The sequence below is a fragment of the Homo sapiens genome, chromosome 3 (genome assembly GCF_000001405.40).
Source record: "Homo sapiens chromosome 3, GRCh38.p14 Primary Assembly".
Classification (NCBI taxonomy): Eukaryota; Metazoa; Chordata; class Mammalia; order Primates; family Hominidae; genus Homo; species Homo sapiens.
Genome location: NC_000003.12, coordinates 179,312,796 through 179,340,139, shown reverse-complemented (window position 1 = coordinate 179,340,139; position 27,344 = coordinate 179,312,796). Strand labels below are relative to the sequence as shown.

Genomic DNA, 27,344 nt, shown 5'->3' with positions numbered 1-27,344 from the left:
ATAAGGAGTATATATAATCCCATAAACTCAGTGCCATAATAAAAATTCTCTTGTGACTCTATCTTTAGTCATCAGTACTGAGGTTAAAAGTTACAGGCAAGCAAATATATATCCCAAAATTTGTTTTATTTATTGGGATGAAACTGTTAATTGTACGGTATACCTGACTAACCAGATTGGTTTCTCCACTGGGTTTACCAGTTGATCTTAACTATTTATTTTCACTTAAATTCTTTTTTTTTTTTTTCTGTTTTTGAGATGGAGTCTCACTCTGTCACCCAGGCTGGAGTGCAGTGGTGCAATCTCGGCTCACTGCAACCTCTGCCTCCTGGGTTCAAGCAACTCTCTGCCTCAGCCTCCCGAGTAGCTGGGATTACAGGTGCCCGCCACCATGCCCAGCTAATTTTTGTATTTTTAGTAGAGACAGGGTTTCACCATCTTGGCCAGGCTGGTCTTGAACTTCTGACCTCGTGATCCACCCACCTTGGACTCCCAAAGTGCTGAGATTACAGGTGTGAGCCACCACGTGCATCCAGCCTCACTTAAATTCTTAATGAATATTGATGTTTTGGTAAGCCAATCTACTTCCCAAGAAGATTGTGGCCATTTGATTTTTATTAGCTCTTTCAAATTTATATAACATATGTTTTTGTTTTTTTCTTTTGAGACAGAGTTTCACTCGTCGCCCAGGAAATGGTGCAATCTTGACTCACTGCAACCTCTGCCTCCCAGGTTCAAGCAATTCTCCTGTCTCTGCCCCCCAAGTAGCTGGGATTACAGGTGCCAACCACCACACCTGGCTAACAACCCTCTAGATCTGTATAAGTCTATCCTGTAGTCCTTTCGGCCATTTGATAGAAATTGACCAGGGGGTCAGAAACTGGGAATCAGAGTCTCCAAGTTCTTGCTCACCGACCGTGACCTTGGAGAGATGTTTGTCTTTTTAAGAATCTGTTTCCTCATCTGGAAACCAATGGAAATTTTGTTGTTGTTTTTTATTTTTAGTAGAGAAGGGGTTTTGCCATGTTGGCCAGGCTGGTCTCAAACTCCTGACCTCAGATGATCCGTCCGCCTCAACTTCCCAAAGTGCTGGGATTACAGGTGTGAGCCATCGCACCTGGCCAACATACGGCCTTTTTAGGCATTAAAATTCCATTAAAAAATTAACACAGCAGCTTGGAAAATATACTAAGTCTCTTGTAAAAGGTAGTAAGACATACAAATGGGCCAGGCATGGTGGCTCACGCCTGTAATCCCAGCACTTTGGGAGGCCGAGGTGGGCGGATCACAAGGTCAGGAGATCGAGACCATCCTGGCTAACATGCTGGAACCCCGTCTCTACTAAAAATACAAAAAATTAGCCAGGCGTGGTGGCAGGCGCCTGTAGTCCCAGCTACTTGGGAGGCTGAGGCAGGAGAATGGCGTGAACCCAGGAGGCAGAGCTTGCAGTGAGCGGAGATCTCGCCACTGCACTCCAACCTGGGCGACAGAGCAAGACTCCGTCTCAAAAAAAAAAAAAAAAAAAAGCAAAGTGGTGCCAGGATTAAGTCATTCAATGCTTTGTAAATCAGATTTAATAATTAGGAATAGTGCTAGTCTATTAAAAACAAAAGACTGTAACAATTCAGCAAACAATAGATTATAGAAACTGTGAAATTGACAAATAATATACAATTCAGAGAAACGTAAGAAAGGTGATTTAAAATGGCAAAATTGGCAAATTTATAAGCAGGAAAAGAAGAGGCTTTTTAGTGAACAACCATTTTCAATTTCTGGAATACAGGGAAATGTTTTGGAATTTCAAAATAACTCATTGTAAGATGAAGATTTAAAACAGCAAGAAAAACATAATGACCTGTCACTACTGTTCACTGCTGCGAAGAATTCTACTGAAGTGTTAATAAACATCATCAGTTAGGTAATCTCAGACTTGAATTGTGGTGCAAGTCACAAGTATACAGTGAAAATGTCTGTCTCTGAAGTAAAACAAAACAAAAAACAAAACAAAACCAGGAGTGTTAATTTTTTTAGGTAGGTTTGTTTTTCTGAAGTTCTTTAAGTTAAAAATAAAGACTGGCCGGGCGTGGTGGCTCAGGCCTGTAATCCCAGCACTTTGGGAGGCCGAAGTGGGTGGATCACAAGGTCAGGAGTTCAAGACCAGCCTGGCCAAGATGGTGAAACCCCATCTCTACTAAAAATAGAAAAATTAGCTGGGTGTGGTGGTGGGCACCTGTATCCCAGCTACTCGGGAGGCTGAGGCAGGAGAATTGCTTAAACCCGGGAGGCAGAGGTTGCAGCGAGCCAAGATCACGCCACTGCATTCCAGTCTGGGCGACAGAGCAAGGCTCCATCTCAAAAAATAAATAAATAAAGACCAACTACTTCAAGCAATTTATGGTCAATCATTGATTTGAAAACTGGGCCAAGGCGAAAAGGTTTTGTGGGACAAACTGTCATTGGGATAGGTCCTGAAGCTGCAGATTCATCAAAAAGTCCAAAATTATGCCGGGTGCAGTGGCTCACGCCTGTAATCCTAGCACTTTGGGAGGTCGAGGTGGGCAGATCACAAGAGGTCAGGAGTTCAAGACCAGCCTGGTCAACATGGTGAAACCCCGTCTCTATTAAAAACACAAAAATTAGCCGGGTGTGGTGGCACACGCCTATAATCCCAGCTACTTGGGAGGCTAAGGCAGGAGAATTGCTTACACCTGAGAGGTGGAGGTTGCCTTGAGCCAAGATCACGCCACTACACTCCAGCCTGGGCAACAGAGCAAGACTGTCTGAAAAAAAAAAAAGTACAAAATTATATGGTTCTGAAACTTGGATATATGTCTCTTGAGTAGCTGCATTGCAATCTTTTCTTCTTTTCTTTTTTTTTTTTGAGACAGTCTCACTCTGTCACCCAGGCTGGAATGTGGTGGCGCGATCTCGGCTCACTGCAAGCTCCACCTCCCGGGTTCACGCCATTCTCCTGCCTCAGCCTCCCGAGTAGCTGGGACTACAGGTGCCCACCACCACGCCCAGCTAATTTTTTTTTGTATTTTTAGTAGAGACGGGGTTTCACTGTTAGCCAGGATGGTCTGGATCTCCTGACCTCGTGATCTGCCCATCTCAGCCACCCACAAAGTGCTGGGATTAGAGGCGTGGGCCACCACGCCCAGCCTGCAATCTTTTCAATTACTAACACTTGATCCAAATGTAAAGCAGCAAATAGATTAAAAGAAAACAAACAAACCAAGGCATTACTTAAGGTGTTTTTCCAAAAATCCAATTCCTGGAGCTAGATGTATAAAAAGCATAAAAACAAAATTATCAACAACTAGGTTAATTGTTAGGTGAAGTAGTCACAAAAAACATCCCAGGGAGAAAGGTTAGGTTTATGTAACATGATGTAATGGAAACATCACTAGACAGTAAACCAGATAACCTGGATCCCACTCCCATGAGACATAACTGGTTATATGTACTTGGCCTCATAGCTATCTACATTTCTATTTCTGCAAGGAACTTAGAAAACTGGAGGGTTTAGACCAGATGCTTTCTAAGGTTATCTTACAATTTAAACTGTTACAATTTTAAGTCTTCTGAGAAACATTTGTTATCAGCCGTAACAGGAATGTTATAATTAGATGGAATGTGAGTTGCTAGGAACACAGGTATGCACATACAACAAAATAGTGGGGATAAAAATAATACCTTCTAAGAATACTTGCAGCCACCATTGTCCAAACAGACTAAATTCTTGAAGTGGGAAAATCATTGGTCATAAATTGATCTTCCACTTATATCAATAAACCTAAAAAATAATGTTAGCAGTGCTTGTTAAATTTGAGGGCAATGATACATATAATTCTATCTTCTTTATAGTGCTGTTTCAGACTCTGCTACTCAATTGTGTTCCCTCCCAAATTCATATGTTGAAGTCCTAAACCTCAGCACCTTAGAATATGACCTTATTTGGAGATCAGGTCTTTAAGTTAAAAGGAGGACATTGGGAGGGGCCCTAATCCAATCAATATGACTGGAGTCTTTATAAAAACAAGAAATTTGGCCTGGGGCGGTGCCTCATGCCTGTAATCCCAGCACTTTGGGAGACTGAGGCAGGTGGATCACCTGAGGTCAGGAATTTGAGACCAGCCTGGCCAACGTGGTGAAACCCCGTTTCTACTAAAAATACAAAATTAGCCTGGCATGGTGGCTGACGCCTGTTAACCCCAGCTACTTGGGAAGCTGAGGCAGCAGAATCACTTGAACCTGGGAGGCGGAGGTTGCAATGAGCTGAGATCGCGCCACTGTACTCCAGCCTGGGCGACAAGAGTGAAATTCTGTCTCAAAAAATTAAAAAAGCAAAAAAAAAAAAAAAAAGAGGAAATTTGGGGGACAGACTTGCACACAGGGAGAACACCATGTGAACATGAGGCTATCCATCTACAAGCCAAGGACAGACCTGAAACAGATCCTTCCCCCACAACCCTCAGAAGGAACCAACTGCCAATAACTCCATTTTGAATGTCTGGCCTTCACAACTGTGAGACCATAAATTTCTGCTAGGTAGGCAACTCAGTTTGTAGTAATTTGTTATGGCAGCCATACGAACTAATATTGATGCTAATTTATCATTTTATTAATAAATGTTGTAAGTTATACATTTTCATGCCAGCAACCCCTATCTCCCAGATCTTCCTAACTTTAAATACTTCAGTGGGTTTTCTGTCAATGAACAATTTGACATCAGAAATTTGGGCAAGAGTCAGGCATAATGGCTCATGCCTATAATCCCAGTGATTTGGAAGGCCAAGGTGGGAGGATTGCTTGAGTCCAGGAGTTTGAGACTGGCCTGGGCAACATAGCGAGATCTCATCTCTACAAGAAATTTAAAAACTTAGCGGGCATGGTGCCACATGCCTGTAGTCCTAGCTATGCAGGAGGGTGAAGTGGGAGGATTGCTCGAGCCTGGGAGACTACAGCCCGGGAGCTATGATCAACCACTGCACTCCATCCTGGACAACAGAACGAGACCATCTCTAAGAAAAAAATATTAAGTCTGTGAATGAATTTATGGTTCCTCAACAGAAAATGAAACATCAAGTTATGAATGAGTTATGATATAGTTATTTTTTATTGTGTAAGCCCTTATTAGTTCCTCCCTCATCCCATCTTAAAATATTCAACAATAGATAGTGGCTCAAAAATTTTTTTTTAAAAAAACAGACTGCCATGAAAACCAAATCTTTTCTTCCTGTAATAGTGGCTTCCTAGTGTTATTTCTCATTAATGGGAGTATCCGTGGACTTAACTGTATATTGCATTTTAGTTCTGGTCGTGTAATAATTTAATGACTTCACACATAAAAAACTAATCTTGTCTTGAGTTTTAAAAAGTTACTAGCACCCATGGTTAAGGAAGGAAAACTGTAGCTCACTTCTTCAATACATTTGTTTCTTTTCAATTCATGAAATCAGAGAATATGGAAGAAACAGGATGACAGTCACCAAGAGTGGTTGAAACTACAAACTATCACGCAATTGAAAATACCACATTAAAGATATATTTATATACAGAAAATGGAGCAATGCCAATAAAATTTTATAATTTAAAAAAGTTACTTGTTAAAGGCAGATTTCATAAGTTGTGTTTACAATCATCCATTTAATCATCTCCAAAAAAAGGATGAATTTATTATTTTAAACTAACATTCTGTAAGTTAAAGAGAATAATCAAGTTGTCTCATGGACTGGAAGGTGACTTATTAATTCCCTTTCATTTCCAAACCTCATCAAGCAGTCACTACATTTATGAGGCAAGTCAGCTGAATGCTTGAAATCTAGATGAATTTTAAGATCTTCAATTTGTCCTGTTGAATATTCACAATATTGACATAAATAAATCCCTTCAGATAAATGTGAATTTAAATGCTTGCAATATTCTAGCATACTTGAAAAGCCTTTCCCACAGTCATCACAAACATGAGGAAAAATTTTTGTATGTTCAATAGCAACATGCCTGTTAACATTTGTGTGAAGTCTACTCCGAAAACCACATACTTGACATACAAAGAAGTTTTTACATTTGTCAAAGGTAATTTTGCTTAAGAGGCTATACTGTCCATGTTCACCATTGTTATACTTATCACTTAACTCTATTAATTTACATGCATGCTCATTTACCACATGGCTATGCAAGTCTTCTGGATCATTAGTTTCATGTTCACAGAACTGACACAAGTACTGTTCATCACAGCTGTGCTCCTGGAAATGTAGGTAGAGTTCACTGCTTGAGGAGAACTGTACATCACACTGTTCACACCAATAGAGGTGATCACTAAAATGGGTGTCTGCAATGTGCTGGCTGAGGTTCTCAAAAATTACTGTCTTATAATCACAGTATTTACAAATGTAGGGATCCTCTTCATGCAGTTTGGCATGTTCTATCAGAAGCATATTGGTAGAGAAACTTTCCTTGCATACTCGACACACATTTGAATCAGTACGTTTATGCTTCAGGATCATATGCTGCTTTAAGTCAGAAAAATATTTGCTGTTAAACTCACAAAGTTCACATTTATAGAGGCCACTGCTATTAGCTCTCAGTAAAGGCCATTTCTGCTGGGCAGTCACATTCAAAGCTTGGCTCTTGTCAAGAATTTTACAAAGTTTAGCTGGCGGTTCTTCATCAGTTTGGTCTTGGAGACTCTCAGAGGAATTGTTTTCTGTCTCTATATCATAATCCTCAGAAATCGCATGCACTTCTACAGCAATTGGAACATCTTCAGCAGTGTGAACTTCTATAGGACTCTCCTCTTGGGTTTGCTGGTTGACTGATTCAGGTGAGTCACACTCTTCATCACAAATTACAATATCAGCAGATTTTTCTGAAGAATAAAACAAACCTATTATATGACTATAACTAAATAAGATCTGTTAAATACAACTGGGCAAAAAAAAATTTATTGCATGCACTTTTTTTAAAATTCACCAATACAAAATATATCAATGCTATAAATTAGTTCCCCCAACCTGTAGAAAAGGCAGTGTGGTCTAGAATTCTAAGTACAGGACTGGGAACCAGGTAGTTCTGATTTCTGTTTCTGGCCTTGATTCCATCTGCAAATTTTGGCAAGTCATTTGACGTCTCGGTATCAGAATCATCATCTGTAAAAAGGGATTTGGAAGAATACTTATTATTTATACAATCAAAGCATTAATTATAGAACAAAGCATCAATTTTTAAATATGATTTTGAATTCCAACAGGAACTAAGGACTTGGATTTAGTCATAAAAAGATAAGTTATCTATATACCTCAGACACAGAAAATCTGCTCAAACAAGCAAATGCTTTAGAATTGATGCCCCATTTGGACTAGATTACACTTTTTGAAGTTCCTTAGGATTTTAAGTTTAAATTACTGAGTTTGAATAAGCCTTTATACCCTCAGGCCAGCCCCAGTGTTTCAAAGTTAGCATGGGGAAACTGAAATACAGGTTAATAGTGAAAACTGGGCTTCAACATTTTGCGAGGGACCAAGTTTTGCTCAGTCTGCCAAGGCTGGAGTACACTGGCATGATCATGGCTCACTCACTGCAGCCTCAAACTCCTGGGCTCAAGTGATCCTTCAGCCTCAGCCTCCTGAGTAGATAGGACTACAGACATGCACCACCAAGCCCGGGTAATTCTTGTTTTTTGAGATGGGGTCTTGCTATGTTGTCCAGGCTGGCCTTGAACTCCTGGCCTCAAGCGATCCTCCCACCTTGGCCTCCCAAAGACCTGGGATTACAGGCGTGAGCCACCACACTCAGCCCATCCATCATGTTTTCTTAAAATAGACCTTATTTTTTAGAATAGTTTTAGAATTACAGAAAAATCTGAGAGGATAGTATGGAGAGGTCCCATGTATCCCAGTTTCTCCACTACTAACATCTAACATTAGTGTGGCACATTTGTTACAATTAATGACCAATACTGGTAACTTATTAATAAAAGTCAATAAAGTCATCTAAATGCCCTTAGTTTTTAACCTAATGTCCCTTTTCTGTTCCAGGATACCACATTCCATTAAGGTGCCATGTCTCTCTATGCTATTGTTGGCTGTGGCAGTTTCTCACTCCTTGAGGAGTACTAATCAGGTATTCTGTAGGATGCCTTGCTAATGGAATTTGTCTGCTTTCTTTTTTTTAAAATGATTACGCTGGAATTATGGATTACTGGGAGATAGACCAGAGGTAAATTGCCATTTTCATCACTTCTTATCAAGGGTACATACTATCAATATGATTTATGGTTGTTGATGTTGATCTTGATCACCTGGCTAAGTCTCTATCAGGTTTCAACACTATAAAGTTGTCTTTTTTTTTTTTTTTTTTTTTGAGATGGAGTTTCGCTCTTGTTGCCCAGGCTGCAGTGCAATGGCGCGATCTCGGCTCACCACAACCTCCGCCTCCCAGGTTCAAGCAATTCTCCTGCCTCAGCCTCCCGAGTAGCTGGGATTACAGGCACGCACCACCACGCCCAGCTAATTTTGTATTTTTAGTAGAGACAGGGTCTCTCCATGTTGAGGCTGGTCTCAAACTCCTGACCTCAGGTGATCTGCCTGCCTCAGCCTCCCAAAGTGCTGGGATTACAGGCGTGAGCCACCGCACCTGGCCTAAAGTTGTGCTTTTACTTTCCATACTTTACCTTTTGTAAGAAGTCACTATGTGCAGACCATGCTTAAGGAGTGCAGACTTATATTCCACCTCCTAGAGGGAGGAGTAGCTACATAAATAATTTGGAGTTTTACTGCTTCTTGGCCTTTTGGCTAAGATGAAGTCTAATAATTTGGAATTTTTCTGCACAGATTTGCCTCATCTCCTCTATTTAATAATTTATAACAGCATGAATTCATGGATATTTATTTTATACTCTGGGTTATAATTTTTTGTCCCCAAATAGTTTTCAGTTTTGGCTGTTGGGAGCTCTTTAAGTTGACGTGTGCCCCTTTGGCATACCCCTGTCAAGTGCGTGTGTTTAGGTTTTTTTAAGTACTTTCCTATTTTCCAGCACTACAAAATGCTCCAGGTTCATCTTGTATATTTCCTGCCCCAGACCTAGAATCAGCCATTTTCCCAAGGAGGCATTAGAAACCAAGAGCTGGGCACTGAATGTGCTCATGCTCACTGCTTCTGGGTGTCATTTCTTTTAGCCCCTCTCAGCTAACACAGCAAAGTGTGTGTGTACAGTACCACATATATATACACACACATATCTACAAGCATTCTGTATGTAGCCATCTGAATCTATAGTAAGCTAAACAGGAATTCATACCGATGTCTCTAACTCTCTAACTTAAGTGCAAGTTGTAAATTGTTATCATTCACCAATGCTGTAGAACAGAGGAACCAATAGAAGATCCAACATTGAAAAATACCAAATCACCCTCTGTTCTTTTCTTCCACACTATGTGGTATAGCTGAGTAGAACTGTGTCTAACACTATTCTTAACCTTTCAACATAAATACTCCAACTCTGAGTCACTCCTGCATTGCCACCAATTCCTAACCAACTAAAGTGGATTTAGGGCTGAGAGCCGTGGCTCACACCTGCAATCTCAGCACTCTGTGAGGCCAACATGGGAGGACTGCTTGAGGCCAGGAGTTCAAGACCAGCCTGGGCAACACAGCAAGACCCTGTCTTTACAAAAAAATTTTTAAAAATTAGCCAGGCATCGTGGTGCATGCCTGTAGTCCCAGCTACTCAAAAGGCTGAGTGGGAGGATTGCTTTAGCTCAAGAGGTCAAGAATGCAGTCAGCCATAATCCATGGAGTGAGACATGGCTGCATGGGTGACAGAATGAAGACTGTCTCCCCCTAACCCCACCCCCTTCAAAAAATGGACTTAGGAGAGTGCACTTTTTTATTTATATGTCAGAAATAATGTTAAAAGTTAAAATTACAGCCGGGCACGGTGGCTCAAGCCTGTAATCCCAGCACTTTTGGAGGCCAAGGTGGGCGGATCATGAGGTCAGGAATTTGAGACCAGCCTGACCAACATGGTGAAACCCTGTCTCTACTAAAAGTACAAAAATTAGTTGAGCGTGGTGGCGCACACCTGTAACCCCAGCTACTCAGGAAGCTAAGGCAGGAGAATTGCTTGAACCTGGGAGGCGGAGGTTGCAGTGAGCCAAGATCGCGCTGCTGCACTCCAGCCTGGGCGACAAAGCGAGACTCCATCTCAAAAAAAAAAAAAAAAAAAAAGAATAGTTAAAATTACTTGCTTTCTTAAAAAAATACAACTTTGTTTTCTTACATTGTAACAAATTTCAAAGACTTGTCTGTTTTGAAATCATCAATCCACATTTTACCCACATTTTCAAGTAAGGAATAAAAAATGTAAAAGCAGTTTAAAGAAACATATTTTCGAAAATATTAGATATACCTTTGTTGTCAAAATATTTTAAATCTGGCTGTCTCATAGAACAGACACTGTAACAATGATCAGAGAAAATTCCATTGAATCCATCTGCAATTCTGCTTATTCCAGAGGAATCTGAACATAAAATGAAAAATATTTCAAGTACAGTAAACATACATATTTAATGAGAAACTTCCCGTTATCTAACTTATACAAATGTTCTTAATGTTAATTATAGTATCTGTAATGAAAATATTATACATTTTCAACTTTTAAAGCTTTTATATTTCAGATCCAATATTGACATAGGACTTTGAAAGAACCACAAATTACATACTCTAAAACATAACAACTTTGAAATATACAAGGATACATTTGTTTTATACTCAGAATCACACAAAATAAAAATATATGATAAACACTGTATTAACTGCACAAAACAGTGAAATAAACACCAGGAAGGTGTGCCATGTCATGCAGAGAAAGGTTGTTACATAGGGGAAATGGTAAGGACCACTTAGGGCTTCTGAATATAGTCATTTCAAGTGTTGTCTAGGAAGGGCCAGTAAGCAGTATACTAGGGTTAATTTCTTCAGATATGAAGAATGTGTAGGCTGGGTAGACTAATAGGTAAGACTGAGATGGTCCCAAGTAAATGTATGCGAGGTGTATTAGAGATGGCCACAAAGACCCCTTTTCTTATACTGCCAACACAGCAGAGCCAACCTCAATGAAAGGATCTAAAATTACACAGTCATCCAGCCTGGGCAGCATGGTGAAACCCCATCTCTACTTTAACACTACAAAAAATTAGCCAGGTGTGGCGGTACACGCCTGTAATCCCAGCTACTTGGGAGGCTGAGGCAGGAGAATCACTTGAACCCAGAAAGCAGAGGTTGCAGTGAGCTGACATCACACCATGGCACTCCAGCCTGGGCTAGAGAGTGAGACTCTGTCTCAAAAAAAAAAAAAAAAAAATTACACATTCAGCATGAAAGTTTACATTTCCTAAAGTAATAAAGAGGATAAAGTCTTTTTTCCCCAATAATGTAAAATATTTTCTACCAAGGTTGTCATTATTGGGTCTTAAGCACAGCTTAGGTATCAGACATGCAAATCCCAATTATGTTATATAAGTAAATAACCTTGGCTATCTAATTTTAAATATTTATAACCCATAGAGCTGTGAGGAATAATATAATGTCTGTAAAGTTCTTATGTGTGCCTAGCACATGGTAGACAATAAGGAATATATATTCAGATAATGTATTTAAACCGTTGTTTTACCTAAATATTGACCCAGATATTTAAGTCTTATCTGATCACTTAGGAGAAAATGGATGAGAATATAATTTTGTGGGAATTAATCCATACCCAACTTTAAAATAATTATACACTGACCTGAATAACGAGAAGGGTGTAGAGTCTTCCTTTTTCTTTTTTTAGGATACTCATTCATATCTTTTCAATCTAAAAAACGAGAAAAAATTAACAAATATGTCACAAATAACAACTGTTAATGACGTTATAAAAATTCTAACTGAAGAATTTATTGGCAATATGAAATATGTGAGCCACCTGAAAATCTATGGTATAAGAAAAGTGTTAAATGATGCCTCTGTTTGTATTTCAGATTGTTTTCCAGTCAGGTTTCAAGGCAGAAACTGATTTCTGTTTTCTTTCTTACGGAGGTTAAAAAATTCTTTTTCAAATGTTGATATAAATTGTGAGAACTGGATAATTACAATAAACCACATGTTTAAGTCATTTTATTTTGTGTATATATAAAAAAAGAAACACTGTGCCTATGGCACCATACTAGGAGTTTTATAGGCACATTTCCTACCATTGGAAGTATTTTTAGGTAGTTTTCAAGCTAAAGGCGGAGACATTTCCTTTAAAAAAATATTGTCACAAATATGTATCGGCCTCCTGGCTTCCAGAAAAAAGTACTCATCACACAGATCAGAATATAAATAATTTTCAAGAAAAAAATCATTTTCCTATTTATGAGGTCACATTCAACGTTCCACTGAGAACACAACACATGCAGCAACCACTATCCAATTAAATTCTCATTAACTGTTACAAAATTAATTAGTTTCAATACAGTCCACTTACTTGGTATAATTCTTACTACTGGAGTGAGGAAAAATGAATTACAATAAGTTTCTGTAGACAGTAAAAAATGCCTGTAAGTAAAACATGAAAGAAGTTATTAAGCAAAAATACAGCTCATTTCTGGTACTGAATAATACAATGGCACCAGATCTTTAATCAATTGGAAAGTTATACAGAACTAATTAAGATATATTATTTTGAAAACAATGTACTACATACTAAAAACTGTATATCTTGATAAATATGTGATTATATGCAAATTTCCACATTTCTTTGAAATGATTTACCTTCTATAGTTCTTTTTTTTTGAGACAGTCTCATGCCTGACCTATAGTTAAATCTTTTGACACCAAAATAGGACTATGAATCTGAATTAATTTATTCATCCATAAGGAAAGCAAGCATAATGAAAGCAAACCAAATTATAAACTTTTTGTTTTTGAGACCGAGTTTTGCTCTTGTTACCCAGGCTGGAGTGCAATGGCGCGATCTCAGCTCACTGCAACCTCTGCCTCCTGGGTTAAAGCGATTCTCCTGCCTCAGCCTCCCAAGTAGCTGGGATTACAGGCATGTGGCACCACACCGGGCTAATTTTTCTATTTTTAGCAGAGACGGGGTTTCACCATGTTGGCCAGGCTGGTCTCAAACTCCTGACCTCAGGTGATCCACCCACCTGGGCCTCCCAAAGTGCTGGGATTACAGGCGTGAGTCACCTTGCCTGGCCCAAATTATAAACTTTAAACTGTTACAGCCCTTATAGATTATTTATTTAAGAAATAAAAGATCGAGACCAGCCTGGCCAATATGGTGAAATCCCGTCTCTGCTAAAAATACAAAAATCAGCCGGGTGTGATGGTGCGCACCTGCAATCCCAGTTACTCAAGAGGCTGAGGCAGGAGAATGGCTTGAACCTGGGAGGCGGAGGGCTACAGTGAGCTGACATCGTGCCACTGCACTCCAGCCTGGGCAACAGAGCAAGACTCTCTCTCAAAAACAAAAAATCAAAACAAAACAAAAAAAGAAAAAAGTAAAAGTGATAATAATAATTTACTGACCACCAATTATGTACCAGGCTGTGAACATACTTTATCTCATTTAATCCTATGTAATCGTATGAGATGCAAAATTCACATCACCCTCTCAAAATTATAGTTCCTGTTATTGAGGAAACTGAGGCACAGTAAAGTCAAAGCTAGATACTCAGTAAATGCTGGGGTTGGGATTTGAATAAAGGTTTACCCAACTTTATTTATTAATCTATTTATTTATTTGAAACGGAGTCTTGCTCTGTCACCCAGGCTGGAGTGCAGTGGCACGATCTTGGCTCATTGCAACCTCTGCCTCCCCAGCTCAAGCGATTCTCCTGCTTCAGCCTCCTGAGTGGCCGGGATTACGGGCGCCCGCCAGCAGGAGGCTGGGATTACAGGTACCCGCCAGCACACCCAGCTAATTTTTGTATTTTTAGTAGAGACGGGGGTTTACTATGTTAGCCAGGCTGGTCTTGAACTCCTGACCTCAAGTGATCCGCCCACCTCAGCCTCCCAAAGTGCTGGGATTACAGGCACGAGGCACCGCGCCCGGCCTATAATGCTCTTAACACCAAGGTGATACACATGACAGGTGTTCTAGCTGAGGTGCACATACTATTTTTGCTGCTTCACTAAGTTCTGGGTATATCAGCACTGAAGTGATATAATACAGCAGGGAATGAGATAGTGCTTTTTCAGTTTATTTTATTTTTACTTTTTTTTCGGACAGAGTCTCGCTCTTTCGCCCAGGCTGGAGTGCAGTGGCGCTATCTTGGCTCACTGCAAGCTCCGCCTCCCGGGTTCATGCCATTCTCCTGCCTCAGCCTCCCAAGTAGCTGGGACAACAGGCGCCCGGCTAATTTTTTGTATTTTTAGTACAGACGGGGTTTCACCGTGTTAGCCAGGATGTTCTCGATCTCCTGACCTCGTGATCTGCCCGCCTCGGCCTCCCAAGGTGCTGGGATTACAGGCGTGAGCCACCGCGCCCGGCCTTTTCAGTTTATTAAGCATTTTCCTAACCCTTATTCTATTTCATCTTCAAAATGGTCCTGTGCGGTACATGGAGGAGTTACTATCAAACCCATTTACATTTTTACTGATGTGGAAACAGCCTTAGTGAAAGTTAAGTCAACTAATAAGTGGGAGAACCAGAGATGAAAATGCATGCACATCTTGCTTCCAGTTCTTAGCTACCAGTTGGGAGAAGGGGAACAGAATAGCCTAAAGAAACAGACAACCATGAAATGTACAGAAATGATACCAATATATAAAATACCTCACCTCGCCGGGTGCAGTGGTTCACGCCTGTAATCCCAGCACTTTGGGAGGCCGAGGCGAACAGATCACCTGAGGTCGGGAATTCAAGACTAGCCTGACCAACATGGGGAAACCCCGTCTCGACTGAAAATACAAAATTAGCCGGGCGTGGTGGCACATGCCTGTAATCTGAGCTACTCGGGAGGCTGAGGCATGAGAATCGCTTGAATCCGGGAGGCGGAGGTTGTGGTGACCCGAGATCACATCATTGTCCTCCAGCCTGGGTAACAGGAGTGAAACTCTGTCTAAAAAAGAAAGAAAGAAAGAAAAAAGAATAAAATCAAACGCCTCACCTAACAATGTAAACAATCATTCCTTGAGTAACCATCTCAATTCACTGCATTCAAAAATCAAAAAGAGAAGAGCTATTACGATTCATATAGCCCAAAGCTTCACACTTCATGTTCTAAATACTCTAAAAGTATCAGGGAGAACACTGAAAACACTCAGCCGAACATGTTAAGTAGTCTCTTGTTATTTCAGAATGCATCTCAAGTTCTTTGCAACTTGAAGAATAAAAGTAAGAAAAGGAAACCAAGCGTGGTATTAAAATCAACGTTGCAAGCTGGCCTGGATTCAGGCTGTTAGGTGAGAGGAGGAGGCACACGGATCAGGAAGGGTCTGACTCCTACTTAGGGCCGAACGATAACCAAATGTCTATCGGACTTCCTTTCAGCACAATGGTGATGCCTACTCAAGACCAAAAATGCTAACCATCCTTCATTTTAGCAATCATTTTTATGTGCCTTTTGTGTGCATAACAGCCTTGAAAAAACTTAGCTTTCTACTCAAGGATGTCATAAACATTTGCTCACTAGTCTTCTTAGCAGGAAGATTCTGAATCACAAGCAACCTATCACAGTCCCCCCTCCCTCTGAAATACAAACGACATATGTAACACGTGTCACTGCAGAAAAATCAGAAAAATGTTTAAAAATTTTTTATATCACCTAGAAACCAACATCTTTCCACCTGTCATTTTTTTCAACCAACAAGAAAGTCTATGCACAAAATAGAATACATACAACAGGCAGTCAGCAATCATCAAATAGATAAACGTTTCAAAAGGCCTTTCATGCAATGTATATTCTTCCTAATTGCTGTAAGACGTCTTTACAGTAAATAACTCCATTTTTAACGAGTTTAAAAAGAGTTAAGCTTTCTTTTTCGTTCTCATTAAAATAAGCATATGCTTTAAATTGTAAAAGAATTGAAACAAAAACATGTTGCAGGAGAGCCTGAACTAGAATCCACTACATGTCCAACGTGGAGGCAGTCTTTACTGCAATATCACACGGTCACTAAATACTTGATTCGCTATTTTTCAGTCCGGCATAAATCTTTCTCTTCGAAAAAAACAAAAAAGGCATAAACTGCTTCAAATGATTCGTTTCCCTAGACAGTACTTAAAGACAAAACCAAAAAAGGGGGTTTCTAAGCACCGTCACACGAGTGAGGCGACTCTCAGGCTGGAGGCTTTGGGCGCCAGCATCGACGCCTGCTCTCCGCGGCTACAACTCGTTGCGCGAGCCCGGGGATTCGCCGCCGGAGGTCACGAAGCCGCCGGGCAGGGCCGCAGCGCCAGCGAGGACCCAGGATCGTCCCGAGCCCGGACGCAGCCAGACAAATGCCCGTCGGAGGCGCAGGGCAGAAGTCCCTGGGACTTAGCCGCCTCCACCCCGGCGCCACGCACCAGCTTCGCCCGGGCCCAGAAGCCGGCGCCAAGGAGACTTCCAAGCCCCGACACCAAAGGTTCCGTAAAGACAACGGCAGCAGGGGGCCGAGGGGAGCCCGGCCAAGGCGTCCTGCGCAGGGGGTGGAACTGCCTTCGGGATGGGGGAGGGGAACGCCATCCCGCCATATAACGAAGGCAGAGTTTCCGTATAAAGGGAGCTCCGGTCTCTCCCGCCCTCTCCCGTTAGAAGATGCGCCCGCACGCCCGCGTCCCCTGGAGCAGTCCAGCGCCCGACCCACCCGCTCCTCCCTCACACTCACCAGTCAGTCCCCCGAGGCCCTCCCGGCCGGCCCACGCAGAGGCGGCGGCGGCCGAGAGCGCAGGCGGAGGGGCCGCGCGGTCCTTCCCGCGGACGCACGGCGGCGGGCAGCGCTGCTCCGGCCCTAGCGCTCCCGGACGCTGTGCTGGGCCGACCCCTCTCCCTCCCCGCGCGCCCCACGCCCTGAGCGCCAGGCCCCTGGCCTAGGCTCCGCGGCCGCACTGCCCTGGCCGCCACGCTCCGCGCCTGCGCCGCGCACCTCAGGGGCCCGCCGAGAGGGCGGGGAGGTGACGAGGTGAGGTGGGGGCAGGGAGCGGGCTGCGCGAACGCACCGCACACGCGGCCTGGGAGGGACCACCGGCCCGCAGCCCCGGGGGAGGCCCAGCGGCCCGCGCCCCCTGCCGGAGGCCTTGCGCCGCCGCAGTCTCCTTCTGGGCGGGGAAGAGCCCCTCCCGAGCCCCGAGGGCGATCCCACCCTCTAGGATTACTCCACGCCAGGCGGCCAGCGAATTTATCCCGCCCGCCTCCACCGCCCCTTCAAGCCCTGGGGAACTGGGAGAAACGTGGCGCGCAGCGGCACCTTTCCCACGCTGCTCCTCAAGGGAAAGGACGCGAGTGGTCTTGCCCAGGTTAGGCAAGGCAGATGGCATCTCAGACCCCGAAGTGTGCCAGCCGCCTGTTGGGGACAGAGAGGCCGAGGACCTCGTCACGGTTTTACTGAGGCCACACCAGAGAACCACCTAGGGCTAGGATGCTGCCCTCAGGGCAAGAGGGTGAAACCTGAAGACTGCGAGTCGTTGTTGAGTTTCACCCGATTCCTTGGCTCGAGAAATAGTGGAATGAATGAGGAGTTAAGGGGGACTGGACTCGACGATTTAAGTCCTTTCTCGACTTTGACTTTCTTTGAGCAGCTGTAGAAATGATTAAATTACACGAGCATAAATAAATTTGTGAACATGGTTCCATAAATGATCTCTGTGCAAGTGTGGTGATATGTTTAATTCAGTCCTTTTGACAATGAGTTGAGGTTTTTAGTCACATTTTACAAAATGGAAAAGTAAATGTGTGAGAAGCTAAAGACTGGGTCTTAATTCATTTTGGTAGCCTAAACCCCTGAGGTTCAAACGGTTAAGAGGATGACTGAGAGCCATGTGGATTATCAGGTACCCAAGGTCACTCGGATAGTTAGGGCTGCAATGATGTCTCTTTGTTCACGTCCACTGCTTTTTCTGACAACCACATGCCAATCAACCAATCAATCGCTGGAAAGTAATAATCACAGACTTTACTCTGATCCCTTCACCATCCCCCAGGAGATAAAGCTATATTTGAAAGAGACACTACTTGTTTGTGAGGCTCAGTTTTTATGACCTCCTAAGTTTTATGTGCGTACTCAGCTCAAATAAATGCTCACGAATGCTAGTATGGCCCGAATTAAAGTTCGAAGAAATGTAGAGACATTTTTAAATCCTAGAATAGTTAGTATCTAGCACAGAACCGGGAATCGGTGGAAACCACAAGGGGGTGTCATGCCACCATCTTACCATTTTGCCTTACCACATAGCCTTGTGTCCAACAAAATCTTTATATTTCAAAATGAAGTTTTACTCCAAAACATTTTGTAGTGAAAGTAAACGCACACTCTCCCCAGCATCCCACGTATTGTTTGCACTTAGAGGAGCTTGACTTTGTTTAGATGTTGTTTAACATAGTCACAAATTGCAAGCAATTTCAAGTTCTTGATTAGCTGGAGTGTTTTTCAGTTTCATTTTTGGGTCCCTCTTTTCCTCATCTCCCGCTCCAAGGGAGGGTGATAGCTGGGATAAAACCCTAAAATCTCAAGAGTGCTAAATTGTAGAGTTTGTTAAATACTATTATAAATTTGATTCAGGGCTATTAAAACATCGTTCTTCCAACTTTTTCACACACTTGTAGAATAGCTTAATTTCTCCTTCCTTTCCTTCCTTCCTTTTCTTTTTTTTCTTTTTTCTTTCTCACGGTCTCACTCTGTCGCCCAGGCTCCAGTACAGAGATGGGATATCGGCTCACTGCAATCTCCACCTCCTAAATTCAAGCAATTCTCGTGCCCCACCCTTCAGATTAGCTGAGATTACAGGCGCGAGCTGCCACACCTGGCTAATTTTTGTATATTTAGTGGTGCTGAGATTTCACCATATTGGCCAGGCTGGTCTTGAGCTTCTGGCATCAAGTGATCCGCCCGCCTTGGCCTCCTAAAGTGCTGGGATTACAGGCGCGAGTCACCGCGCCCGGCCACTTAATTTCTTCCTGATTAGAAAATAGTTACGTTTTTAGTACAGAATGGAGACAACAGAAAAGTACAAAGAGCAAAAGTAAATTTACCATAATCTCACAACCCTGAGCTCATCAATGGTAACATTTTGCTTTCTATCTTTCCGTTATTTTTATACCTATACTGACATAAAAATTTGTTTTCAAAATTAGAATATTGGCTGTGTTTTTTTCTAACAGGTTCTTTTTTCCAATTAGTATAGCACGAGCATTCTTTATGTTTTTTGTTTGTTTGTTTGTGTGTTTTTGAGACAGAGTCTTGCTCTTTCGCCCAGGCTGGAGTGCAATGACGTGATCTTGGCTCACTGCAACCTCCGCCTCCCAGATTCAAGCGATTCTCCTGCCTCATCCTCCGAGTAGCTGGGATTACAGGCGCGTGGCACCACACGGGGCTAATTTTTGTATTTTTAGTAGAGACGGGTTTCACCATGTTGGCCAGGCTGGTCTCAAACTCCTGACCTCAGGTGATCCGCCCACCTCGGCCTCCGAAAGTACTGGGATTACAGGCGTAATTGCAGTTTGTTGTTTTTTAATTTTGTTAGTGGTGCAAACATTTTAAATTGTAGTGAAAGCAAGTCTATTAATCTTTTCCTTTGCAAGTTCTATTTTTGGCCTTTTGCTGAGATAATCTTTTCTTCTATGCAGGATCTGGTTGCATTTTTTGCTTTAACTTTTTCGTTTGTCTACAATTTATTTTGGGATATGGGATGAAGAGAACTGGGTAAATCTGGACTAGGGCCTGAGTAGCTGCAGTTCTAACAAATTTCCTTTCGAAGTCCATGCTGCTGGCCTGTGATCACGTCTGGAGAACCACTATCCTAAGTCTTTCCTCACCCAACCCCACACTAACCATATAGTATTTCTCACTATTCCACAGATACGCTCTGCCTTTTTCTCACTTGTGTGATCTAGCACGTTTCTTCCACCTGCAATTTGTTTCCTTTGTTTCTGTAAGATGAAGCTCACAGTTGATCTCTTCTATGAAACCTTGATTTTCCCTTGCCGAAATCTCTGACCAATCTTTAGAGATTCCACAGTAGTTAGTACATTTGTCCACTTCTCCCCAGAGATGGAGTTACTGTGAAGTTACTGAAGCTTAAATTTCAAGTCCCTTCAATTGCATGAACCTCTTCCAGGACCACGTGCTTAATTTTGTATTATTTATTTTGAGACAGAATCTCACTCTATCGCCCAGGCTGAAGTGCAGTGGTATGATCTCGGCTCTCTGCAACCTCCTCCTTCTGGGTTCAAGCGATTCTCGTGACTCAGCTTCCCAAGTAGCTGGGACTACAGGTGCGCACCACGATGCCTGGCTAATTTTTGTATTTTTAGTAGAGACGAGATTTCACCATGTTGGCCAGTCTGGTCTCAAACTCCTGACCTCAAGTGATCCACCCACTTCGGCCTCAGCAAAGTGCTGGGATTACAGGCATGAGCCACCACACCCAGCCTGTATTAAAATTTTATATTATTTTTCTCAAATTGATCTTCCCAGTTTGCATAAGCGTCTGCCCTTGCAAAATTTGGCTCCATCTGTTCATCATGTTGTCTCTCCACGGACCCTAAGTTCCAGTTTTATTATCTTCCAATCTGCTCCATTTCCCTGCTTAGCACAGTATCTTGCATACAGCCTCATTCATTTCTTTCAGTAGAATATTCATTGCATATCTACCTTGTGTTCAGCACTGTACTAGATACTGGCAATACAGTGTGAGCAAGATAGACATGGTCATTGGTCTCCTGGTCCTTACAGTTGAGTAGGGAATATGGGCAATTATACAACACTGGAATGTAATTAGTAAACTTACATAGTGCAGGTATGGGAACACATGACACATGGCCTAGCTTGGTATTCTGTTTGTCGAATGAATTGATAAACTCTGTCATGGTTACCTAGTCAGCTAACACTAGTGCACACCTAAGGGACACGCTTCTGACTCAGGCATGAGGTGGCTGCATGCAAAAGTCTCAAGTTAGTCATCTCACATACTCAACAGAGCCATCTGAGCTCCAAAATTCCAAGCCACCCTTACACAGGTACAAGGACTAAATTTATACATTTCTTTTTTGAAAGCACTACAGGCCAGGTATGGTGGCTCACACCTGTAATCTCAGCACTTTGGGAGGCCAAGGCAGGCAGGTCACTTGAGTGCAGGAATTTGAGATGAGCCTGGGCAATGTGGCAAAACCCTGTCTCTACAAAAAAACAAAAAACACAAAAAATTAGCCACGTGCCTGTAGTCCCTACTCAGGAGGCTGAAGTAAGAGGATCTCTTGAACCCAGGAGGTCAAGGCTGCAGTTAGCTGTGATTGTACCACTGTACTCTAGCCTGGGTAACAGAGTGAGACCCTGTCGAAAAAACAACAACAAAAAAGCAGTCCAACAAAGCCCAAATCTGGCCGTTCCAGTCAACACACTCAGACAATTTGCTTTCCTAAAATGGGACAGGGAAAGTGTTTTGGTTGTAAAAGATCTAGCCTATTTCTCCATTTTTTTTTTTTTTTTGAGATGGAGTTTTGTTCTTGTTGCCCAGGCTAGAGTGGAATGGCACGATCTTGGCTCACCTCAACCTCCACCTCCCAGGTTCAAGCAATTCTCCTGTCTCAGCCTCCTGAGTAGCTGGGATTACAGGCACCTACCACTATACCCAGCTAATTTTTGGTATTTTTATTAGAGATGGGGTTTCACCATGTTGGCCAGGCTGGTCTCAAACTCCTGACCTCAGGTGATCCGCCTCCCAAAATGCTGGAATTACAGGCGTGAGCCACCGAGCCTGGCTTATTTCTCCTTTCTTGAACCTCATCCCAGAGAGCCAACTAGACTCTGTGCTGACCCAGGATCTCTGCTTATCTGTCAAACCTCTTCACTCAGTGCTCAATTTTCAGTATCAGTCTTTATTTTTTCCATTAGCTTAGTGAATGACTGAATGAATGAATAACATCTGATTAGTCTTGCATATTAGGATATTAACAATGATTCTTTCTACAGTGTTTCTGAGGCACTGTTCATTTTCTAGAGCACTGACTGTGTTTACATTACCTAGGAGTAAAGGTCATGGTGTATCCATTTGATAGATTTGAATTCAGACACACATACCTGCAAAGATCCGAAGGCTGAACCTCTTCAAGGGAAATTGACACCAGTAGATGATGAAAAGGAAGTATTTCCCCAGTAAATAGATATATTTGTTATCCCTAAGAGGAAAACTTATTGACTGTTTAGGTCGGTGGTAGGCATTACTACTGTTCACCAATATCAAGGTGGGGTATGGAGACTTATACCTATAATTTTGGCACATTGGGAGGCTGAGGTGGGAGGATTGGTTGAGTCCAAGAGCTTGAGACCAGCCTGGGCATCATAGTGAGACCCTGTTTCTAAAAAAAAAAAAAAAAAAAAAAGTAGAATATTAGCCAGGCATGGTGGTGCACACCTGCAATCCCAGCTCCTCAGGAGGCTGAGGCAGAAAAATCCCTTGAGCCAAGCAGGAGGGTCCACTGCAGTCTAGCATGGATGATAGAGTAAGACCCCCATCTCTAAAAAAATGTAAAAATTAAAAGCACTATCCAATTTTTGATACTCTCTACTTTCAGGCATGTAGGAGATTATACTGCCTGTCCTGCTTGAAGTTAGGTATAATCATATAACTTGCTTTGGCCATTGACATAACAGTAGAAGTGTTGTGTGTCACTTCGAGGTAGAGGCATTTCATGTCCAGTGCTCAATTCTCTAGCCCTCCCTTCCACTGAATGGAGTCATCAGGACCCATAGCATATGAAGAAACAGATTTAGGCTGGGCGTGGTGGCTCACGCCTATAATCTCAGCACTTTGGGAGGCCGAGGTGGGTGAATCACTTGAGGCTAAGAGTTTGAGAGCATCCTGGCTAACATGGTGAAAACCTGTCCCTAATATAAAAATACAAAGAAGTAGCTGGGCATGGTGGCGCACACCTGTAATCCCAAGTACTTGGGAGGCTGAGGCAGGAGAATCACTTGAACCAGGGAGGCACAGGCTGCAGTGAGCCGAGATCACACCACTGCACTCCAGCCTGGGTGACAGAGCGAGACTTGGAAAAAAAAAACCCACACATAAAAACAAAAAACAAATTTAATTCTTTACCTTGTTTATGATGCAGAGACCTTCGTTCACATGTTTACCTGCTGACCTTCTCTTCACTATTATCCTATGATCCTGCCACATCCCCCTCTCCGAGAAACACCCAATAATGATCAATAAATACTAAGGGAACTCAGAGGCGGGCGTGGATCCTCCGTATGCTGAACGCCGGTTCCCTGGGCCCCCTTTTTTCTTTCTCTATACTTTGTCTCTGTGTCTGTTTCTTTTCCAAGTCTCTCGTTCCACCTAAAGAGAAATGCCCACAGGTGTGGAGGGGCAACCCACCCCTTCACAAATCATTATTGTGTTAAACTGTTAAGCTTTGGGGATTGTTTGTTATTTCAGAATCACTAGCCTATCCTGATAGTTACAAGGGCTAAATTTATGCATTTCTTCAGCCACAGTCTGAGTCTAAAGAACAGAATCTATTAAAAATCTATAGTTCAGTAATGTGCCTTTGGATTTCATTTGGATTCATTTAAGAAGCATTTATTAAAGCCTACTATTTTCAAGATAACTGTGGTGGCCATTGTGGCTGTTTTCACTTTCTTTCATGACTGTCTTCTAAGCCACTGTGGAGCGGGCTGTTTTACTTTCTTTTCTGACAGTCTTGTAAGGACACATTGAAAATCTTTGTAAATCTGTTAGAACTGTAATTTTCATGTTGCAGTTCTCAAGTCTTACACCAAGTGGTGCCACATACTAAATGGTAACCAACGGAGCTGCTTTTGATGATCAAGCATATCCAGAGTTTATCTAGTCCAAACTTTGAGTAGCCCAACTTAGCCACTTTGTTTTTCCTGTTATTGCTAATGAGAGTTTAAAACAACCTCAAAGGTGTACTTATTTGTAATAATTGCTAATCACACACACACACACACACACACACACACACACACACACACACAAAACAATCTCCTTGCTGGGGCAAGGTGGGGGTGAGGTGGGTCAGGGTAGGTGAACAAGACTCTGTGGTGTCTTTTCTGGTAGACTGTATGCTCTGTGAAGGTAGAAAATTTGTGTGTCTAATAAAAAACTAGCAAGGTACTGTCCCACAGTAATTTCCTAATAAGTATGCATTGTATGAATGAAGGACAAAAGGAAGGAGTGCATGAAATCCTTAGCACAGTGTAAATCTTCATACAATGTTTAGTTTATTCTGTGTGTTTGCCTAATAGCAAAAGGCTTACTTAGTAGGCATTTTTTCTCATTTTTAATTCCTTCCAAAATTATGTTTTGAAGTTTAAAATCTTTATTTTCGAATCGGAAAATTGATGTGGAATCTTAAGGACAAAGCTAGCATTAAAATGAGCTTTACTTAGTCACCCTTAAAGCTACAAGGTTTTCAGGTATTTTTAAGCCATTAAGAAAAGAAAAACGAGGGCCATATGTGGTGGCTCACGCCTATAATCCCAGAAGTTTGGGAGGCCGGGGCGGGTGGATTACTTGAGGCCAGGAGTTTGAAACCAGCCTGGCCAACATGGTATAACTCCATCTCTACTAAAAATACAAAAATTAGCCAGGCGTGGTGGGCGCCTGTAGTCCCAGCTACTCTGGAGGCTGAAGCATGAGAATAGCTGGAACCCAGGAGGCAGAGGTTGCAGTGAGCAGAGATCGCACCACTGCACTCCAGCCTGGACAACAGAGTAAGACTCTGTTTCAGAAAAGAAGAAAAACAAAAAGAAAATAAAAGAAAAAAAAAGAAAAGAAAAAGAAAAAGAAAAGCTTTAAAGAGGACCATCATGATAGTGAATACCGGCCTTAGTTTTTCTGCTCTTCATGGATGTAAAATCTCTTTATTTAAGAATTTTAAAATGGATTATGTATAATTGATTTGCTCATAAAAATGATGAGGTTTAGTATATCCAAAGGGTAGTTTGGACCATAATCCCGCTAAATGAATGTTTTCCGTTTTTAATCTGCATGCCTTTTGGGTATTTTTATGGCTTTTATAAGCTTTTTCAAACACACAGAAGAATAGGGAGAATAATAAATGAAACTTCTGTGTTCAGCACCCAGTTTTCAATAATTATAAAAAATTGGCTATACTTCTACTGGTTTATCTCTCTGTTTTTTGTTTTTTGTTTTGTTTTGTTTTGTTTTGTTTTATTGACACTGAGTTTCACTCTTATTGCCCAGGCTGGAGTGCAATGGTGTGATCTTGGCTCACCGCAACCTCCACCTCCCAGGTTCAAGTGATTCTCCTGCCTCAGCCTCTCAAGTAGCTGGGATTACAGGTGCATGGCACCATGCCTGGCTACTTTTTGTATTTTTAGTAGAGACGGGGTTTCGCCACGTTGGCCAGGCTGGTCTTGAACTCCTGACCTCAGGTGATCCGCCTGCCTGAGCTTCCCAAAGTGCTGGGATTACAGGTGTGAGCCACCGCGCCTGGCCGTATCTGTTTTTTCTGTCCTCTCTTCCTCTATCCATCCTTCCTTCTTTCTTCTTTCTTTTTATCTCTTTCCTGTGGCTATTTATGTATTTATTTATTTAGAGACAGAGTCTCAGTTTGTTATCCAGCTGGAGTGCAGTGGTGTGATCATGGCTCACTGGTAACTTTGAACTCCTGGGCTCAATCGCTCCTCCTGCCTCAGCGTCCTGAGCAGTTAGGAATACAGGCTCACACCACTAGACCTAGCTAATTTTTAAAATATTTTTGTAAAGACAGGATCTTGCTATGTTCATCAGGCTGATCTCAAACAATCCTCCTCCCTTGGCCTCCTAAACTGCTGGGATTACAGGCATGAGCCACTGCACCCAGCTTCTGTGGCATTTGAAGGAAACATCAGGTCATTTTACTTCTATGTACTTCTCTATAAAACATTATATCTTCTTACGTGAACATCAGTCATTTTCACACCTAACAAAAAATAACGCTAATTCCTTAATATCCTCTAGTACTGATATTTCTTTGTCCCGCAAATGTCTTTTTCCAGTTGGTTGTTCAAAACCAAGATCTAAACGAGGTCCATACATCAAACCTAGTTGTCATATCTCTTTAGTTTCATTTAAGCGGGAATAAACCCTTCCCACTTTTTCATGCCATTGATTTGTGAAAGATGAATTTATATATTTTTCTTTTAAATGTAAAAAGTTTTGTTATGAACAGAACTCCAAAGATCTGCATTGTAAAGAATCTTGCATCTCTGAGTCTTTCTCTGCCAGTTTGCAAAAAAGCAGACAAACATTTAAAATAGAGTAACTAGCTTTATAGGGACAAAGAGGATCTGTTTTTATGAATTTATTTGGCTCCATTACAATAAGGAAATTCATATTTTTCTTCCTTTTTTTTTTTTTTTTTTTTTTTGAGACGGAGTCTCGCTGTCGCCCAGGCTGGAGTGCAGTGGGGCGATCTTGGCTCACTGCAGGCTCCGCCCCCCGGGGTTCACGCCATTCTCCTGCCTCAGCCTCCTGAGTAGTTGGGACTACAGGCGCCCGCCACCTCGCCCGGTTAATTTTTTGTATTTTTAGTAGAGACGGGGTTTCACCGTAAGTTAGCCAGGATGTTCTCGATCTCCTGACCTTGTGATCTGCCCGCCTCGGCCTCCCAAAGTGCTGGGATTACAGGTGTGAGCCACCGCGCCCGGCCAGGAAATTCATATTTTTCAAGGAGAAACAAAACATTATTAAGTACAACACAGGTAATTTGATCATACTTTCCTAGCTTATCACTTGTAATATTTCTTGCTTCTCTGGCTGCTTAATTTTCTTTCCCTGTAAGGACCTGTGAAAATTAAAGGTTAAACCAAGATTGAGAGTTCCCTAAGCAGCATACATCTCACTCTCTTCCTTGTGAACTAAATCCTGATTTTACTGAGGACTACAGTGTGACCATTTTTTTAAAAAACTATGTTTTTCAGCCTCTCTTACAGATAAGGGTGGTATTAAGTTGCAGGTCTGGGCCGAGTGCAGTGGTTCATGCCTGTAATCCCAACACTTTTGGAGGCTGAGGTGGTAAAATGGCTTGAAGCCAGAAATTTGAGCCCAGGAGTTCGAGACCAGCCTGGGCAACATAGAGACGCTCCATCTCCACAAAAAATTAAAAAACTTGTGGGGCATGGTGGAATATGCC

General features: G+C 42.2%; 1 protein-coding gene across 14 annotated transcripts, besides 4 other annotated features; it reads right to left on the bottom strand.

Annotated features, from left to right (window-relative positions):
- Positions 1 to 1,556: 1,556 nt before the first annotated feature.
- Positions 1,557 to 17,264, bottom strand: ZNF639 (zinc finger protein 639). Of its 14 annotated transcripts, NM_001375804.1 has the most exons (8): positions 16,849 to 17,109; positions 14,818 to 15,098; positions 12,796 to 12,848; positions 12,509 to 12,579; positions 11,789 to 11,857; positions 10,412 to 10,522; positions 7,017 to 7,151; positions 1,557 to 6,871 (listed from the first exon to the last, which is right to left on the bottom strand). In NM_001375804.1, the coding sequence occupies exons 5-8, from the start codon at positions 11,844 to 11,846 to the stop codon at positions 5,718 to 5,720; spliced, it is 1,458 nt and encodes a 485-aa protein (NP_001362733.1). In that variant the 5' UTR covers positions 11,847 to 11,857; positions 12,509 to 12,579; positions 12,796 to 12,848; positions 14,818 to 15,098; positions 16,849 to 17,109; the 3' UTR covers positions 1,557 to 5,717. The 14 variants fall into 14 exon arrangements, with proteins under 14 accessions (NP_001362733.1, NP_001362735.1, NP_001290354.1 ...); NM_001375806.1 differs by lacking the exons at positions 12,796 to 12,848; positions 16,849 to 17,109 and adding an exon at positions 17,180 to 17,264; NM_001303425.2 differs by lacking the exons at positions 12,796 to 12,848; positions 14,818 to 15,098 and adding an exon at positions 15,147 to 15,190.
- Positions 15,009 to 15,108: an enhancer, noted in NCBI's record as "active region_20865". NCBI's record gives its function as "activates an Ori minimal core promoter by ATAC-STARR-seq in GM12878 lymphoblastoid cells {active_cell/tissue: GM12878}" and the evidence as "EXISTENCE:reporter gene assay evidence [ECO:0000049][PMID:35858748]".
- Positions 16,150 to 16,199: an enhancer, noted in NCBI's record as "active region_20864". NCBI's record gives its function as "activates an Ori minimal core promoter by ATAC-STARR-seq in GM12878 lymphoblastoid cells {active_cell/tissue: GM12878}" and the evidence as "EXISTENCE:reporter gene assay evidence [ECO:0000049][PMID:35858748]".
- Positions 16,770 to 16,909: a silencer, noted in NCBI's record as "silent region_14916". NCBI's record gives its function as "represses an Ori minimal core promoter by ATAC-STARR-seq in GM12878 lymphoblastoid cells {active_cell/tissue: GM12878}" and the evidence as "EXISTENCE:reporter gene assay evidence [ECO:0000049][PMID:35858748]".
- Positions 16,940 to 17,379: a silencer, noted in NCBI's record as "silent region_14915". NCBI's record gives its function as "represses an Ori minimal core promoter by ATAC-STARR-seq in GM12878 lymphoblastoid cells {active_cell/tissue: GM12878}" and the evidence as "EXISTENCE:reporter gene assay evidence [ECO:0000049][PMID:35858748]".

Coding starts and splice junctions, on each gene's coding strand:
- ZNF639 (NM_001375806.1), bottom strand. CDS start 11,846: ATGAATGAGTATCCTAAAAAAAGAAAAAGGAAGACTCTACACCCTTCT. Junction 7,152..10,411: donor AAAATATTTTGACAACAAAG/GTATATCTAATA, acceptor CCCTTTTTACAG/ATGATGATTCTGATACCGAG. Junction 6,872..7,016: donor CCACACTGCCTTTTCTACAG/GTTGGGGGAACT, acceptor TTTATTCTTCAG/AAAAATCTGCTGATATTGTA.